Source organism: Homo sapiens, chromosome 5 (assembly GCF_000001405.40).
Source record: "Homo sapiens chromosome 5, GRCh38.p14 Primary Assembly".
In the NCBI taxonomy this organism is placed as follows: Eukaryota; Metazoa; Chordata; class Mammalia; order Primates; family Hominidae; genus Homo; species Homo sapiens.
In genome coordinates, this window is record NC_000005.10 from 150,755,974 (window position 1) to 150,774,536 (window position 18,563).

General features: G+C 40.5%; 1 protein-coding gene across 6 annotated transcripts in view, besides 2 other annotated features; it reads right to left on the bottom strand.

Annotated features, from left to right (window-relative positions):
* The window catches only part of DCTN4 (dynactin subunit 4), a 50,578-nt gene extending 47,534 nt beyond the window's left edge, over window positions 1-3,044 (bottom strand). For 2 of the 6 annotated variants that reach the window (NM_016221.4, NM_001135643.2), the window contains exons 1-2: window positions 2,886-3,044; window positions 444-514 (exon numbers count right to left, since the gene is read on the bottom strand). In NM_016221.4, the coding sequence (NP_057305.1) occupies window positions 444-514; window positions 2,886-3,020 (206 nt within the window). In that variant the 5' untranslated portion in view covers window positions 3,021-3,044. Of the gene's footprint in view, window positions 1-443; window positions 515-1,947; window positions 1,976-2,142; window positions 2,535-2,587; window positions 2,726-2,885 lie in introns of those variants that run through there. The other 4 variants (XM_011537644.2, XM_047417261.1, XM_011537645.2 and 1 more) reach the window with 4 other exon arrangements.
* Window positions 2,320-2,389: an enhancer, noted in NCBI's record as "active region_23427". NCBI's record gives its function as "activates an Ori minimal core promoter by ATAC-STARR-seq in GM12878 lymphoblastoid cells {active_cell/tissue: GM12878}" and the evidence as "EXISTENCE:reporter gene assay evidence [ECO:0000049][PMID:35858748]".
* Window positions 2,820-3,119: an enhancer, noted in NCBI's record as "active region_23428". NCBI's record gives its function as "activates an Ori minimal core promoter by ATAC-STARR-seq in GM12878 lymphoblastoid cells {active_cell/tissue: GM12878}" and the evidence as "EXISTENCE:reporter gene assay evidence [ECO:0000049][PMID:35858748]".

The following is an 18,563-nucleotide window of genomic DNA, read 5'->3' on the forward strand; positions in this document are numbered from 1 at the left end:
CATCTTTGGCAATGGTGATGCTTAAAAATGAAAAAGAGCTGGTTAAAAAAGTTAATTTCATGTGTCTTTTTTTTTTTTTTTTTTTTGAGACAAAGACTTGCTCTGTTGCCCAGGCTGGAGTGCAGTGGCACAATCTTGGCTCACTGCAATGTCTGCCTCCCAGGTTCAAGCAATTCATCTGCCTCAGCCTCCCAAGTAGCTGGGACTACAGGCGCGTGCCACCACACCTAGCTAATTTTTTGTATTTTTAGTAGAGATGGGGTTTCGCCATGTTAGCCAGGATGGTATCAACCTCTTGACCTCGTGATCCCTGCCTCCGCCTCCCAAAGTGCTGGGATTACAGGCGTGAGCCACCATGCCTGGCCCATGTGTCTTTTTAACTAGCTATTTTAGAGAACAGTCAAGGAAAATAGGAAGAAAAAAAAAATCAGTCCAGGTCTTACCTATTCTTTTTTAGTTTGGCTTCAGCCGATGGCATATTTTCTAAACAACTGGGACAATAATGGGAGTCCACCTAGGAGGAAACAAGAAAGAAAAAAAAAACCAGAGGAGAACTCAGTTTAACTTGTGTATATGTCTTGTCAAATAGTGAATTTTAAAATATGTTATACTGTAGCAGAAAGTAGACTGTTTTCTGCTTAGGGTTTATTCTTCTTCAGTCACCTGTTTTTTTTTTTTCTTCTTCTTCCGGATTTAAAAAATCCTTCTATTTTTCTGATCTTTCCTATTCCATCATCAGGGTTTTATGTGTTAAAAGTTGTTTATTTAACAATCTACAATTTCCAGTTGAACTCCATAGAATTCTATGATTAATAAAGAGATTAATAAAATAATCCAATTTGTAACATTGTGATAAAATATCCTCCTGTCTAGGCTAGCTTTATATGACTATAAAACTTGACCATACTTTTAGGTTTTGAAGGACATTTTTTTAAAGATTTCTCATTATTGAAGTAATACAGGTTGACTGAAGGCAAGCATAAATATTTATTTACATAGTCAGCTATGGCCAACCAATTAGAGATTTTTAAACAAATTAATGGGACAGTCTTATTGTACTTAAAAAACTGGAGTCTAAAATTTAAGTTCATTTTATTTTTTAAAAGTCTGAATAATTATTTTCTTTAATGTAGGTCCTATTTGACAATTATAGAACTCTAGTCACCTGCAAATGAAAAGACAATCACTGGAACATAAATACTATGATAGAAACTGGCTTTTTTCATCATCTGCTATAAACAGGTCAATTTGAAAAGATTAATAAAGTTGTTGCTCAAATAATCTCCAGGAACATAAAATACAATATTGCTAACTAACCTCTGCACTGACTCATCAAAAAAGGCAAAATACAAGTCATTCCTTTTTGCCCCCTTTCCAAATTCTGCTTGTCCGTTCATGTGCAGCTCCAGACCCAGATTCTCCATTAGAACTTCACTGCCTGCCCCAGCCCTCAGAGCTTCATCTTTCCCTAAACTCTAATGGCCTCCATATCACAGGTACACATCAGGCTGTAAAAGATGCTGTCACAGACTGGATGTCCTAATTGAAGAGAGTCTTAGAGACAGATCATGGAGACTGAGCACTCTATTCACCACAGGAGAATATGATCCAATAAATTCTGGAGGTGGAGCTGGAATAGGGAATCATCAAGGAGATACACATAAGGAAAGTGCTAATGGAGATGAGAAGAAAAATCGATGCCATATTTTTAATATATACGATTTTTCTTGTATTATTTAATTGCTTTTCTTGACTATTCCTATTATGAAAAGTATCTTCAATAAAATAAGTTATTAATAACACATAAAATGGCTTATAGTATGTGTTTTCATATGCATTTATTTTAACAGTCCCGGGATCTTCAGTAAAAAACACTCTGAGTTAGGCTGTTTAGATTCAAATCCAGGTCCTCCTTCCCACCCCCAAATTACTGGCTGTGTGACTTACAGCGAACACTCTGTATCTGTTTCTTTACCTGTAAAAAAAATTTTTTAAAAAAAGTATCCACTTAAATTGGTTTGAAGATTACATAAAGCACATGACATATAGCAAGTATCGAATAAGCAGCAACTATTACTACTATCAGCTTTTTCTTCACTAAGACTATGGCTTATTAAACAGCGCATTTTATGTCTTACTCGCCTTTTAATCCCTAAAGCTTACTGAATAAACAAGATGTGCCAAGCGCTGCAGAAGTTTTGGGGTTTTGTTATTTGGTGACTTTTTACTGGCCGGGGTCTTCTTTTTGAAAAATCCAACTTCGGACGCCCACTTGTGCCAGGGAAGGACAGCATTGTCCTCTAGCTCCATAAATACACTTTCAGCTTCTTACATGACATACTGTATTCTGAGCGCTTTTCACATAACTCACGCCGCCCCAACCTCTTCCCGGCTGCAGGCCTTGGCCTGAGTCAGGAACAGGGCAAGGCAGTCTGACGAGGGCCCAGTTTCTGGACAAAAGAGGAACAGAACTTTCAGGATGGGAGAACTATGAATGAGAACGCCTGCGCCTCCCTCCATCCTCGCAATAAATCCTGGAAAGGCAGTTTTTCGCCCCTTAAGTGGCCTGAACTAAGCACCCCCAGACCTTTCTCCGTAGTCCACCCAATTACCAAGCCCCATCGCAGACAGACACGGTCCCTAAGTCAAGTTTGTCCAATCAGAGGCCGCTCTAGAACCAGAAGATCCGCTCAGTCCCACCCGAGGCTGCTCCTCCTTTCCAAGTGACAGATTAGAAGCAAATTAAATCGCAGGCAAACCCGAGTGACGGAAGACATAACCAATCAGTAAGGAAGGAAAATAGCTCCAGCCTTCCGGTGGCAGTGACTAGCATGAACGCCGCGCCCCCCCCACCCCACATACTCGCTATAGGGCGACTCTGTTACCTCGTGAGACACACATTCCAGCGACCGCAGTTCGCTACAATAGCGGCAGAAGTAGAGTTGCGAGAGCGGGGCCCGAACCTTCTTTTCTCCCTGGACTAGATAGAGAACCCGGTCCGACTGCAGCAAGGACGCCATCTTGGGGAGGGAGGAGGCGATGACGCTCCCGGCGCATCACGTGACCCGAGAGCCAGCGTCTTCCTCGCTGCCTTCCCTACGACTTCCTACGTAGACTTTGACGTTAGGTTTCCCACCTCGTCCGGCTCTGCGCCCGTCGAAAACCAGAGCGCGCGTGCGCAGCTGGGATCCCTGTTTTCTCCCCAACTCTGGGCCCGTCCCCCAGCGCTTTTGTGAGCGTCCACTGCCCTTACTGCCATTAGGTCTGGACTCAGTGAGCTCCTTTTATTCTTTTCTTCCAGAATGGAAGCCTGATCTTTTGTCTTATTTACGACGGCCTCCTCTGCCCCACTTAACAGGCGAGCATCCAGGAGACAAATGGAAGGTCTCAAAGGGACAGGGCTCCGTGGGGACTGCAAGACAGGAGTCACACCAGCACTGTCTTCTGAGTCTTGCCAATGGCCTTTGGGAACTTTCACATACATTATCTCATTTGAAACGCAGGTTTTTGAGTACATAGTTAGCGTTAGGTCTAAGTCTGTATTGTGGACCTTCAATAAGTATGAAAAGGAGGGAATGAAATCAATGAATGAACAATGTTGGTAGGCGTCTACGTTTTTCTAATGTGTAAACTAAGGCTCAGGTCTGCCTCTTGGGTGAGCAGCGACTACGTGAGACTGGTATTACATGGGTGGGAAAATAATTTATCAACAGTTTTAGGTAAAGAAATGCAGATTTATTAGAGAAGGTATGAAAATACGTTGAAAGGTTGCAATGGGCAGACCAGCCAGAGAGGAGCTGACTTCAAGGAAACAAAGGCTTGCTGGAGATTTTATCCGATGGTTCTTGGGCTGCAGAGTGCTGTGCAGTACCGAGAACTCCAAGGTTACAGGGAGCTAACTTGCATGTGTCTCGTGATAGCTGAGTGCAGGAAGATTGTGAGTTATTTGCACAGGAGGGCTACGTGTCCTGCACCATGAAGAAAGGCAGACTTAGAGTGCATCTGCTCTTCTTGCTATCCCTTGGTCCCACTAGCCTGACTCCCTTTCTCTAACTGGGACTCCCCAGTATGTAAAATGACCACCTAGAACTGCCTAGCAGAAACTGGAGCCTCTGTTGCCTGCCACCAGGTCTACATTTTTATAATTGTAGTAGTGTTGTATTATTACCTGTCTGACGTTAGAGTTGGTGATTGAGAAGAAAGGGAACTGAATACTATTAGCAAACATTTATTGAGCACTTATTAAGTGCAGCACACTGTGTCAAAACTTTACATACATTGTCTAATTTAATTCTTACAACAGCTCCAAAAAGCATGTGGCTATCATTATTTCTATTTTACAGAGCAGGAAACTGAGGCACAGGGAAGTGCAGTGACTCCTCTATAAGGTTTCATAGATGGAGGTAGAACCCTTTTCTCTCTGACTCTAGTGCTTGCAGGTATAACCCCTATGTATACTCCCTCCAGCATATTTTCTAATATGGTGATGTTAATAATACCTTACATTTATATAGACCTTTTCAGCTTATACAGTGCTAATCTCACAATTTATGTCACGCTTTACCAATTGAGCCTAAAAGTCATTACTTGTTCACCAAGCAATAGCCTGGCACTAATTTAGTTTCATAGGTGACATCTGCTCCTAGGAGAGAATATATTACTAGCCAACTCATTTGCAATTATTTCTTTAGGTTAATGAATTCGTTGGTTTTCTGGTTTATAAACTAGTCTCTACTGAGTTTAAATTCCCTTTTCTGGACTATGCTGTTAAAATGAAGTCCCAGAGCCTGCAGGTACAGAAAGGCTGGAGACTTGAGCTGAATCCACATAAAACAGACACTTTTTAGAGCACTGATTTTAAATAATTAAGTGGCCAATTATCTTGTCCCTGCTACATGCCAGGTACTGGGGAGGGAACTAGCGATAAATGAGATACTTTCCATCCTCAAAGGCTCAGGGTTCTAGCAGGATCGAGTCCTAGTTATGCACAATGGTGACCAGCTTGATAATGTAGCCTTGTGTTGCTTTTTCACTCTACCCAGCCCTGGACTCACCCTCATTCACTTCTCAATCCTGGCTTCCTGCCTGCAGAATCTCATTTTGAGCTCTGCTTTCTAGGGGGAACTCAGGCTAATACAGAGACCCTAAAGTTGAACTGGCAGATCAAAGGATATCCACATTTAATAAATACTGGCAATAAGCCCTTGTGAAATTCTAGGCCAATTTACACTCTCACTATAAGTGTATGAGCTATCCATTTCCCACTGTTTTGCCCACCTGGCATATTATCAAATTTGAGTGGATACTTTTGGCACTTTCTAGCTATGTGATCTTGAAAAAGACATTTACACCTCAGAGTCTTGTTTCAAGACACATAGAATGAGAAGAATAATCCCTGCCTTGGTGAAAATAAAAAATCATCCAGGCTGTGAAAGCATTTTGTAAGGTATGAAGTACTAAGCACATGGAAGAAATGCTCCCTAAATATCCCAAGTATGAAAAACCCAAAGTGGTTTTCATTTTTATAAAGAGTCCTTCAGAGTAAATCCACAATAATAATGGAAAAAACTGGAAGTTAGTCAGACTTTGGTCAAATGAGGTCTTGTGAAGGGGACCGAATCTGGGCTCTGACCTCAAAGACTTAGGGTTTTCTACAGCTTAGGAATCTGGGGAACTGCTCTCACCAATGCTGGCCACCTGCCCTGGCTGCCTTCCCCACTTTTGCTTTCCTACTTGAAAACTATATTAATTATAGGGTTTCCTGTGTTGAATCTATTTACAGGCTAATCTAAAAGTCATAGTAAGTGAATAGAGGAGGAAGAAAAAAGAAGTCCCTGTTTCATCAATATCCATGCTAGCCCCTGTGGGGGCCCTTACTGCCCAGGAAATGTGGTGGTGGCAGGGCTAAAGCTAATTTCCCAAGTGTAAACATGGCAAAAGACTGCTGGCCTGCCTTTATTCTGGGAAATCTTTTGAATTGTTTTTGCTTTTGAATTGAACTGAACTTTGAATTTTTCTTTCCTTTTTTTTTTTTTTTTTGAGACGGAGTCTCACTCTATCGCCCAGGCTGGAGTGCAGTGGCACAATCTCAGCTCACTGCAAGCTCCGCCTCCTGGGTTCATGCCATTCTCCTGCCTCAGCCTCCCAAGTAGCTGGGACTACAGGTGCCCGCCACCACGGCCGGCTAATTTTTTTGTATTTTTAGTAGAGATGGGTTTTCACCGTGTTAGCCAAGATGGTCTGGATCTCCTGACCTCATGATCTGCCCTCCTCAGCCCCGCAAAGTGCTGGGATTATAGGCATGAGCCACCACGCCTGGCCCACTAAAACCACTTTTTATGAGAAGTGCACAGATGGGCCTACAGAAGATTCAGAAGCCTGACTAAAATTTGGCCAAACAGAGACTGTTTCTCACCCTCCCTCTTGCACAATTCACCACCCAACCCCGAGGCTTGCTTCTAGGAGAGCACCAGTGTATTGCTCACTGAATTGAGCAAAGTGGAATTAAAGACTGAATTCCTGCCTAACTCAGTGCCTGGCACAGAGCAAGCCCTCGGTTAGTATTTGTCGAGTGGATGAACACTATTTTAAACCATCTGGAACTTGCTGCCATATGGAAGCTGGCAACTAAAAAAATTTTTTTTTTCTTTTTCACCTTTAAGCAGTTGCTTCTTTTAGAAGGCAGAACAAGAAATAGGGGGAGAGGGGAGGATTGCAATTCTGGATTGTGTGGTCAGGGTAACCCTCCTGAAAAGGTAAGGTTTGAGCAAAGATTTGAAGGAGGTAGAGCGAGAGCCCAGTGGATATCTGGGGAAAGAGCCTTCCAGAAGGAGCTAAACAAGGTCTCTAAGGCGTATGTGAGGAGCAGCAAGACCTGTGTCATTGTTAGGGAGTGAGCACGGGGGAGGGGTTTGGGGGATGATGTCCCAGAGTTAATGGGGGCTGGGGGTGCACTCATGTAGGATCTCAAAGGGCATTTAAAGGATGTTGAATTTTTCTCTGAAGGGAATGTGGAACCATTGCAGGATTTCAAGCAGAGCAGTGATGTGATCTAACCCACATTTTACAAGGGTCATTCCTGACATCGTTTTGGAAATGGACTGTAGAGAGACAAGGATAGAATCAGGGCTCAGTTAGCAAATTCCAATGGTGATCCAAGCAAAAGAAGATAGTGCCATAGAGCACGGATTCTGGCTGTATTTTGAAGATAGAGCCTATGGGATTTCCTCATGCCCATAGACTGCCATGTGGGAGGGGATGGCTTGAAGTTAGGCAACAGGGAGGCCCTGGTTGGGCCAGGGGACAGTTTGTTTTTCAGTTTGACCAAATTCAGCCACTGGGGGTTTATTTCCTCAGAAATTACCAAGACTATTTCTTCTCCCTGAGGTCAAAATAAAAACATCCAGGAAAGGACTAGACACTTTTATATTTAAGAAAAAGAAATGAAGCTAACTTGTTCAGTCTCTTATTTTGTTCCAACTCACAAAGCACGGTGATGACAACACAGGAAGGCATATTTCACAAGAGGCCAGAAAAAGAGCCAATCAGTCAGTTGCTAAACACATTAATCAGATCTTCAGTGCTCCAGCTCAGGCTGAGGTGATGCTGGTGTGGGAGAGCCCAGCCCGTTTGGAATGGGGCCAAGGACTCTCCACAGTAGCTTCTCCCCTTGCTGTGAAGGTAAAATGCGTTAATACAAGTAAAGTGGGTAGAGGGCAGCACGCTGTCAGTAATATCAGTGGTATGTAAGTATTGGTTATTAGGCCACGGAGTATGGCCCAATCCCCTCATTAACAAGTGAGAAAACAGGTTCAGAGAGAGGAATTCATTTGTCTAAAGTTACACTGGCTCTCCAGCTTTACTTCTGAGCAGCACTAAGTTGGCTTCTTAAAAAAATTGTTTTGGACAATTGGGATTTCCAGTGTTGCCCCTCTTACAATTTATTCCTGGGAAGTTCTTTTAGACTTTCAGCTGTCTCATCTGAGAGCCTTCCTGTCCTCACAGGGAAGTTTAATGGGAAATTTTGTTACTCTTGAGCACTGGTGGAAGTGAGCCTCCAAGCTGGCCATCAGTGGCCACTGCCTTCTGGTGTTTCTACCCTTGTGTACCAGGGTTGGTCTGTGTGACCAACAGCATATGACAGAAGTGATGGGATGACACTTCCGAGACTAGATTATAAAAGACTGTGTCTTCTGTATTGGGCCCTCTCTTGCTGGAGCTCTCTCTGTCTGAAACACACACACACACACACACACACACACACACACACCCTTTCTCTTGTATCATTTGTTTGGGAGAAGCAGGCTGCCATTTTGTGAGCAACCCCATAGCAAGGCCTGTGTGGCAGGAAACTGAAGCCTCTGGCCCACAGCTGTTGAGGACTAAGGCCTGCCAGCAACCAGCGAGTGAGCTCAGAGGTGGATTCTCCAGCTTCACTTGAGTATAGAGATCATTACAGACCCAGATGACAGCCTGACTGCAAACTTGTGAGAGACCCTGAGCTAGAACCACCCAGGTTAGCAACTCCTGGACTCTGACCCTCAGAAACTGTAAGATAAAAAATGTTTATTTTAAGCTGCTAAGTTTGGGGATACTTTGTTCTTTCCTTACCACCACCATAACAGTTAACCTCTGCCACACTGTATACTTCTCTTTCCATCTCTGCCCCCTCCACTGTCCTAGTCATGGCCTCATGCCCTCCCCACATGTCCCCATAACCAACTGTCTTCTCTGAGGTCAAACCCAGAAGTTATCAAACCAGCTGAATCAGTCACAGTACCAACAGGAAACAGATGGCGGGCTAAAATTGATAATTTGAAGAAAGTTTAATATAGGAACTATTTGTGGAATTGTGGGTGGGGTGGAGAGCAATGAAAAGGAAGGAACACTGCAGTTCACAGGGTTAGTAAAGGTGGGTGCTGTTTATGGCCTGAGGCCTGAAGACGCAAGGGTGGGAGCAGTTACTGTACTCTGGAGACAGACAGAGCTGTGTGAAGAGGGTCCCCTAACAGGAATTGGGCCACAGAGCCAGCCTTGCAGCCCCTGGGGTGAGGGTGGGGGTAGAATGCAAAACACCTCAGCTCCTGCTGGTGCTTCCCGCTTAGATGAGCCCACCAGAAAACTAGACATCAAGGAAATCTATCTTAGTTTCCCTCAGAAGCAGATTGTGGGATAAGGGTTTAAGTGCAAGTCATTTATTTGAGAGGTTCAAAGGTTCAGGGTATACCAGTAGGGAACTGAGGAAGTGAAATAAAGAAGAGAAGACAGCTGGTATGATTGTGTTATTAAGCCAGCTATCATAGTGGGTGACTGGAGCCTAGTCCCACAGAGAAACTCTGGAAACAATGTAAACACACCTCTCAGAATTATTTCACTGAAGGGTGAGGGAGTTGGGATATTTATACTCCTAAAGTCTTTGGTTGAGGGCTGCTCCTGGAGAAAAGGGTTAATTCCTGGATACTTTTGGACTGACAGACCAACCTTCTGTGTTTCTGGGAAAAGCCCTCAGACACAAAGATACAGATACTGGCAATTGGAAGTCTGTGAAACATTGAGGTGGAGAAGGCCTAAGAGATTTGCGCAGGGATTGGCAGTGTCTGCTACCAGGCCCACTGATGGGATACATTCAGATGAACCTCCCATTCACAAGGCAGGATGGAGAACTGTGCAGAGGGTGAATCTGGAAGCAAAAATGAAACTTAAGTGCATGCTTAAAGTTAATAAGTAAAACTTATTAATACTCTCTTAAATAGAAATACACTGTATAGGTTTCAAAACAGTATTTTTTCCCTTTTATTCTCACAGTTACTCTACCCTCTCTTGTAACCATGTAGCTAATTGTCTGATTCTGCTTGTGCATTATGCAGTGTGCATTGCAATTCTGATTGTGCCTGTGCATCTCACTGTGCCTTACCTAGGTCAGTAATTACTCCATTTCAATGAGCAGAAAAAGAGGCACAGAGAGGACCTAACTCAATAAGAGTCATTCAGATGCAAGACATTTAGCATCAGTTCTTTTACTTCCTGTTGGGTAATCTTAGAAAAGTTAACATATCCTCTTTGGGCTTCTGTTTTCTGATGTGTAAAATAGGGGTTAATAACATTTTCACCCTAGAATTGTTTTAAGGACTAAGTAATATAATGCACATAAAATCTTTGCTATACAATAAATGCTAAATAAGTGTTTCGTTCAAGTAAATATTCTTTTTTGAAAAATATAGGCAAAGGCATATAAATATTTGAGACGAAAGTTTACTTCAAAAATTTGAACAGAGATATCTTCTGGTAATAGACACTCTATTATCTCTAGCTACATGACTGTGTAATAATTGAACACTTTGGAATTAAGCCATGAGAATTGATTCAAATAATTATAACCACACTAATGAGACCATATGACTATCACTCCACTTCAAAGCTATAAAACAGAACGCTTCCATTTCCTCTTCTTTCTCCCTGTCTGCTTAGCACTTTGTTTTATCTCAAATTCCACATGTTCGAGAAGTTTCATCATTTCACCATCCTTCCTTATCATTAATTCAATGAAGGCTTTCAGCCATAATACAAAAGTTTTAATTAAAATAAAAATTCCTGTATCTTATGTTCAGGCTAGAAGGTTATTTCTTTTGAGTTAGCAAGTGAGTGGAGCTACCCCCAAAGAGTAAGAAGGCATTTTGCCCAAGGATTTATAGAACAAACAGAACTTTGGGAATTTTTTCAGGAAGAAAGGGGAAGAGAGGGAGACTAGTAATTTCAGGAGTCCTGGTGCTTATTGCCTGACTTTTGGGAAGACCCGAGCTGTTTAGGGGCCTGTAAGTGAGAAACTAATGTCTGAGCCAGGACAGATTCATCAGTGAAACAAAATAGATCACCCTAACACAGGTATGCTTTTAATTAAAAACTGTAGTAATCTTAAGATCCTTGAGCCTTAGCTTTAAAAAAGTTTTGGAGGTGCAAGTGACTACAGAGAACATTTAACTGAACTATCTTCTTTTCACTTCTGGAGCCTGAAGATATAGAAAGAAGAAGGGACTTCCTCAAGGTCACATAGCAAACTAGCGACAGAGCCAGGACTAGAAGTCATGGTTTAGTACTGTTTAGTGCCAGTTTAGTACCATTACCTTGTGCCAGTGACACACTCCTTGCCCCCATACCCCAGTCTTCCACCGCCTCAATGAAAACCTTCTGCGATATCTCTCTGCTCCCATACCTCCAGTGTTAGGGAACCCATGACATCCCAAGAAAGCCTGTTCTGTCCAATTTCGGACAGCTCTTTAAAAAAATTCTTTCTTTGGGTGAACTGAGATTTGCTTCTTCTCAGCTGACACTCTCTGATTCTAGGTCGGCTCCCTCTGTCCCAGGCATACTTCAGAGGTTTGCTCAGATTCCCCATTGCCTACATGAGTCCTCCCATCTCTAGACTAAACATCCTATTGTCTTACAATTCTATTCTGTTTTTGGCTGCAGTGATCTATGATTGTGCCACTGCACTCGAGCCTGGGTAACAGAGCAAGACCTTGCCTCTTAAAAAAAATCAGTGAACTTTGAGCAAAGCAGATTATCCTCCATAATGTCGGTGGACCTCATCCAATCAATTGAAAGCCTTAAGAAAAAGATAGACCTTCCCTAGGAAGGGGGAATTCTGCCAGCAACCTGCTTTCAGACTCAAGATGCAACATCAAGTCTTCCCTAGGTTTCTAGCCTGCTGGGCTACCCTGCAGATTTTGGACTGGCTAGCCTTTACAATCATGTAAGCCACTTTCTTAAGAATCAATCTCTCTTTCTTGTTCTCTCTCTCTCTACACACACACACACACACACACACACACACACACACACACACACACACACAGTGGTTCTGTTTCTCTGGAGAACTCTCTGAGTTAATACAATAGTTTTTCAAGCATACGACTTTGCCTTCGGCACAACTTCAGAACTGGAAAGAGAAGTCTTGGTTGACCTCTGGTCATCCTATCATTCATTTATTCATTCATTCAACTAGTAGAGCACTTATTCTGCACCTAGGTGCAGGTGATAGAAAGGAAAATATCGTAACCAGAAATTTGAACTTAGGGAGGACTTTGATAAAACCAGACCCCACTCAAAATTATTAGTGCAGAGTGGCAAAGAGCTTAGGCTCAGTAGTCAAGCTGTCCTGGGTTCATAGTCTGGCTCTAACAATTGTCAGCTGGTAGCCTTGGCTAGTCACTCAGCCTCCCTGAGCCTCAGTTTCCACATCTGTAAAAGGGAGAATTTGGATTAGATTGTTTTTAATTTTCCCTTTAGTTTTGGACATGCAGTGTTTCAATTTAGTGAAAATGCAGGAAGGAAAGAATTGTACATAGTATGAAGGCTCTACTCTAGGGCCTAGGGAAAAATCCTATATATGATCATGTCATTCATATATATTATCTATTCAAATAAGTAATATTTACTAGACACATGTTCTTTCACATTCATGATTTCACTTGTTTCTATTTCATCCTCATTGAAGCTGCTTCAGTTAGGCAGTAGCATTCACATTTTGTGGAAGGGAAAACAGAGGCTCGTAGACATTAAATACTTCATCCAAGGTCACCATAAGTGCCAGAACCAGGATTCAAACTCAATTTTCAAAAATTCTGAACTACATGATCTTGCATTACCTCCTTTTGCCTGGCAATTCTTGACAGTTGGGAAGAATGGCATGAGTTCAAGAACTCTGAAATCTGTTTTAGCATTGTGTTCTCTTCAAATAGTTTGTCAAAGTATAGTCTTCAAGCTGGTGTGGTGGCTCATGCCTGTAATCCCAGCACTTCGGGAGGCCAGAGTGGGCGGTTCGCTTGAGCCCAGGAGTTCAAGAACAGCCTGGGCAACATGACAAAACACCATCACTACAAAAAGTAAAAAATAAAAAAGTATAGTTTCAAAATATTAAAAATATAATTTGTATACATATACATAGAAAGCATGGATCAAAGTTTTATTTAGATGTTTAATGAAGGAACCAGTAGGATGACAAGGAATGCTAAAATAAAATTAATAGGTTAGATGCAAAATTGGTTAATTACCTACAGGGCAATAAAATCATAACCTTTGGGGTTATCTTTTCTATGAGACAGAAATCATTTGTATCTCTACTGGATGGTACAAGCTAAAACAAGGAAGAAACCACATTTGTACCATATCAAACTTTCTAAAGTTAACATGTAACTTTACGGGGTTGTAAAATGTCTGGACCCCAATTAATAGTAAATAGTCAATCAAACAAAGATCCATATCCTTAGAGAGTCAGATGGTCCTTTAGAGCACACTAGGTCATGCTCTAGTGTGATGTCAGCAGGACATGTAGTCATCCTTTTGGTGTATTTCCAAATTTCTGGATGATTTTTCTTATCAATCCACCTCTATAATCACAAACTTCAAAAATTGTGATCACAAAGATGACTGATTTCATTAGAGGATATTTGGCCTAATTCATTTGCACAGAAGCCTCATTGTTGTATGGCCAGCAAATCTAGAGCTATATGCTTCTGAGCAACTATTACAGCCAGATAATTAGCTTCCACTGGAGATTTCACAAGGAGCTAGGGTTAAATTTTCAATACCCAATATCATTCCAAAGATATTCTCAACTAGATTGAGATATAGTTCACATGTTATACAATTAATTCATTTAAAGTGTACAATTCAATGGCTTTTAGCATTTACAGATTTACACAACCATCACTACAATCAATTTTTGAAGATTTTCATTACCCCAGAAAGAAATACCAGTCTTTAGACATCACCCCACATTCCCTTTACTACCCCTACCACTAGGAAACCACTAATCTTTCTATCTCTATCGATTTGCCTGTTTTGGATATTTCATATAGATGGAATAATAGAATATACAGCCCTTTGTGACTGGCTTCTTTCTTTTTAGCATACTGTTTTTAGGGTCCATCTATCTTGAAGCCTGCATCAGTACTTTTTGTTATTGCTAAGTAATATTCCATTGTATGGTCATGCAGACTTACTCTAAGAGTCCAACTTTATTCTTTTGAACTTTTTTCCCTTTATTCTATTGATGTGATATATTACATTGATTTTTGGATGTTGCATTCCTGGGATAAGTCCTACTTGGTCATGTTTTATAATCCTTGTATAATTCTGGATTTGATTCGTTGGTATTTTGTTGAAGATTTTTGTGACAATATTCATAAGACACATTGGTCTGTAGTTTTCTTTTCTTGTGATATGTTTGTCTTATTTTGGTATCAGCATAATACTGTGAAAGGAAAATATCTTGGGCCCCCAAAATCACTAAGGAAAACTCAAGCTGGAAACTGCTTAACGCAAACCTGCCTCCCATTCTATTCAAAGTTATCCCTCGCTAGGCATGGTGGCTCACACCTGTAATCCCAGCACTTTGGGAGGCTGAGGCGAGCAGATCACCTGAAGTCAGGAGTTCAAGACCGGCCTGGCCAATATAGTGAAACCCTGTCTCTACTTTACCAAAAATACAAAAAATTAGCTGAGCGTGGTGGCGTGCACCTGTAGTTCCAGCTACTCAGGAGGCTGAGACAGAAGAATCACTTGAAGCAGGGAGGCAGAGGTTGCAGTGAGCCGAGATCGCACCACTGCACTCCAGCCTGGGTGACAGAGCGAGACTCTGTCTCAAAACAAAAATGAAAACAAAAAACCCCACAAAGTTATCCCTCTTCTCATTGACATAGATGCATATCTGATTGCCTCCTTTGTAAAGGCGAATAAGAAACGCAAAATAAAGCAACCATTTGTGTCTCACCTATCTGTGACCCGGAAGCTCCATCCTGCTTTGAGTCTTCCTGCCTTTGCTTCAAGTTGTCCCACCTTTCCAGACTGAATATACTTCTTACATATATTGATTGATGTCTCATGTCTCCCTAAAATGTATTAAACCAAGCCACGCCTGACCACCTTGGGTACATGTCGTCAGGACTTCCTGAGGCTATGTCATGGGTGCGTCCTCAACTTTGGCAAAATAAACTTTCTAAATTAACTGAGACCTGTAGCAGATTTTCTGGGTTGACAAATGGATTGGGAAGTGTGCACTCCTTTTCTGTTATTTGGAAGAGTTTGTGAAGAATTGGTGTGAATTCTTCTTTAAATGTTTAGTAAACTCACTGGTGAAGCCATCTGGTCCTGGACTTTTAAAAACAATTACCAGTTTAATCTTTTCATTTGTTATGAGTCTATTCAGGTTTTCTGTTTCTTCTTGAGTGAGTTTTGGCAGTTTGTGTCTTTTCTAGGAATTTGTCTACTTCCTCTAAGTTAGTTAACTGATTGTCAAAGAGTTATTAATAGTATTTCCTTGTAATTCACTTTATTTCCAAAAGGTCAGTAGTAAAGGCCCCATTTCCATTTCTGACATCAATTTCATAAATTACTTTTAGTAATTTGGATCTCAGTCTTTCTTGTTCGGTCTAGTTAAAGGTTGGTCAATTTTGTTGACCTTTTAAAAAAATCAACTTTTTGTTTTCTTGGTTTTCATGTTTTTCTATTCTCTATTTTGTGGATATGCATTCTAATCCTTATTATTTTCTTCCTTCTAATTGCTTTTGGTTTAGTTTTCTCTTCTTTTTCCAGTGTCTTAGGTGATAGGTCAGGTTGTTGATGTGAGATCTGTCTTCTTTTTTAATGCAGGCATTTATAGCTATACATTTTCCTCTACATGCTGTTTTAACTACATCCTCTAGCTGCATCACATAGCTGTGTCTTGATTTTCATTCACCTTAAAGTACTTTATAATTTTTTGTGTGATTTCTTCTTTCATACACTGATAGTGTGTTGTTTTATTTTCATATATTGTTAATTCCCCAAATTTCTTTCCATTCTTGATTTCTGATTTCACTCTATCATGATTGGAGAATATACTTTGTAAGATTTCAGTCTATTTAAATTTATTGCAATTTGTTTCATGGCCTGGCATATTTCCAATTCTCGATAGTATTCTATGTACATGTGAGAAAAGTATGTATTATTCGTTGTTTGGTAGAGTGCACTATAGATGTGTTTTAGGTCTAGTGTGTGTGTATGGTATTGTTCAATTCTTCTATTTTCTTGTTGATCTTCTGCCTGTTTGTTCTATACAATATTGAAAGTTAGGTATTGGGATCTTTGACAATTGTTAAATTGTCTACTTCTTCCCTTAATTCTATCAATCTTTATGTTATTTTTTCTCTTGTTAGTGCGTATATTTATAATTGTTATAATTTCCTGATGGATTAACTCTTTAACATTATCAAATGTGCCTCTTTATCTCTAGTAACGTTTGTTGTTGTTGTTTTTTGAGACAGAATCTCACTCCGTAACTCAGGCTGGAGTGCAGTGGCATGATCTCGGTTCGCTGCAATCTCCACCTCCCGGCTTCAAGCAATTCTTGTGCCTCAGTCACTTGAGTAGCTGGGGTTACAGGCATGTACCACCATGCCTGGCTAATTTTTGTATTTTTAGTAGAGACAGGGTTTTGCCATGTTGGCCAGGCTGTCCTCGAACTCCTGGCCTCAAGTAATCTGCCCACCTCAGCCTCCCAAAGTGCTGGGATTACAGGCATGAACCACTGCACCAGGCCTTTTTGTTTTACTTTTTCTATTACTGATATAGCCACTTTGGCTTTCTTTTTTAAAAACCAGTAACATGGTCATTTATTATTACTATTATCAAGTATTATGTACTGTACATAATTGTATGTGCTATACTTTTATATGTCTGGCAATGCAGTGGGTTTGTTTAAACCAGCATCACTACAAACACATAAATAATGTGTTGTGCTATCATGTTACAATGGCTACGATGTCACTAAGTGATAGGGATTTTTCAGCTCCATTATAATCTTTATTTTTACTTCAGCTTTCCTATGGTTGCTGTTTGCGTTATATATATGTATATATATATTTTTTATCCTTTCTTTTGCTTTCAATCTATTTATATCTTTGAATCTAAAGTGTGCCTCCTGAAGACAGAATATAGGTTGGATCTTGTTCTTTGCATTTTTTAAAATCCAATCTGATAATCACTGCCTTTTGATAGGACTGTTGAATCCATTTGCATTTAATGTTATTATTGATATAGCTGGATTTAAATCTGCTATTTCACTTTTTGTTTTTATATCTTTCAAGTATGTTCACTCTTTTATTCTTCCTTTATTGCTTTCTTTTGCATCAAATGAATATTTTTCTAGGGTAATAATTTATATTTTAAAATTTTTCTTCTTTGCTCATTTATTCCAATATCAGAAAACCAGAGCCAAGACATTAATTTCCATCTGATTTTATATGCAGTCTTTAAAAGTGAGTGACTTTCTCTTTTCCCAAGGGCCTTAGCGTTTGCTAAATTTGCTGGCCTGATGGTAAGTAAGCATTATGATATAGTTTGGATGTTGTCCCTGCCCAAATTTCATGCTGAAATGTAATTCCACTGTTGGAGATGGGACCTGGTGGGAGGTGACTGGATCATAGTGGCAGTTTTCTCATGAATGGTTTAGTGCCATCCCCTTGGTACTGTGTTCATGATAGTGAGTTATCTTGAGATCTGGTCGTTTAAAAGTGTGTGACACCTTCCCCCTCTCTTTCTTGCTCTTGCTTTCGCCATGTTACGTGCCTACTCCTGCTTCACCTTCTGCCATGACTGTTAGCGATGCTTCCTATACACCCCACAGAACCGTGAGCCAGTTAAGCCTCTTTTATAAATTACCCAGGCTTAGATATTTCTTTATGACAATGCAAGAGAAGCCTAATACACATTACTAGCACAATGCTGGAACCCTGTAAGCCAAATAATAGGTACCAGATCAGTTTTCTGGGAAGGCTTTGTAGCCTTGCTTCTGCAAAGGAAGTACTACACTTATTCTTTAATGGTTATGTGATTATAGCTGATTAAATGAAATTTATTCTCAAATATAACTCTTTGGATGGCTTTGATTATATGATTGATTTTTTCAATACATCTTGGTAAAAAGGATGGCAGATTCGTTGAATCTGTTCAAATAATTACATAGCCAAGGATTCAGTAAAAATATTTACTCTCAAATTCTGATGGGCCAGTGGGAACAAGGTATCATTAAAAATATTTCATTTCAGTTTGCAATAAGCATAGTTTGTTAAAATGAGGGTTAGCAATAGATGAAGAAGAAAGGACTTCCTCTTACACTCATCAGAAAATGGGACATTAAAAACAATCTAACACTATTCCAAAACAAATAATCATGATTATATTTCCCTTGTTGGCTTATTAGGCTAATGTGATTCATTCTTGACTCACAAATCTTGGATCAGCAGTATACTTCCATGGTTTGTTGCTTCAGGACAAAAGAGTCCTAGCAATCCTGATTCAGTGCTGTGGTTCAGTCTATAGATGTCTACTTGTGGTCAGAAGTCAGCGAATACTGATAAGGCTGGGGCTGTAAGTCTATTCTAGCTAAGAGCATCTGATAAAATCTTTTCCACCAAGGCTCTGGGGCTGTCCTTTGTTGACCTCTTTAGCTTATAGCAGAGGTCTTTAGGCAAGCATGGAAGAAAAATAAAAACCACCTTTTGTTGATTAAATTTAAGGCTCTATTA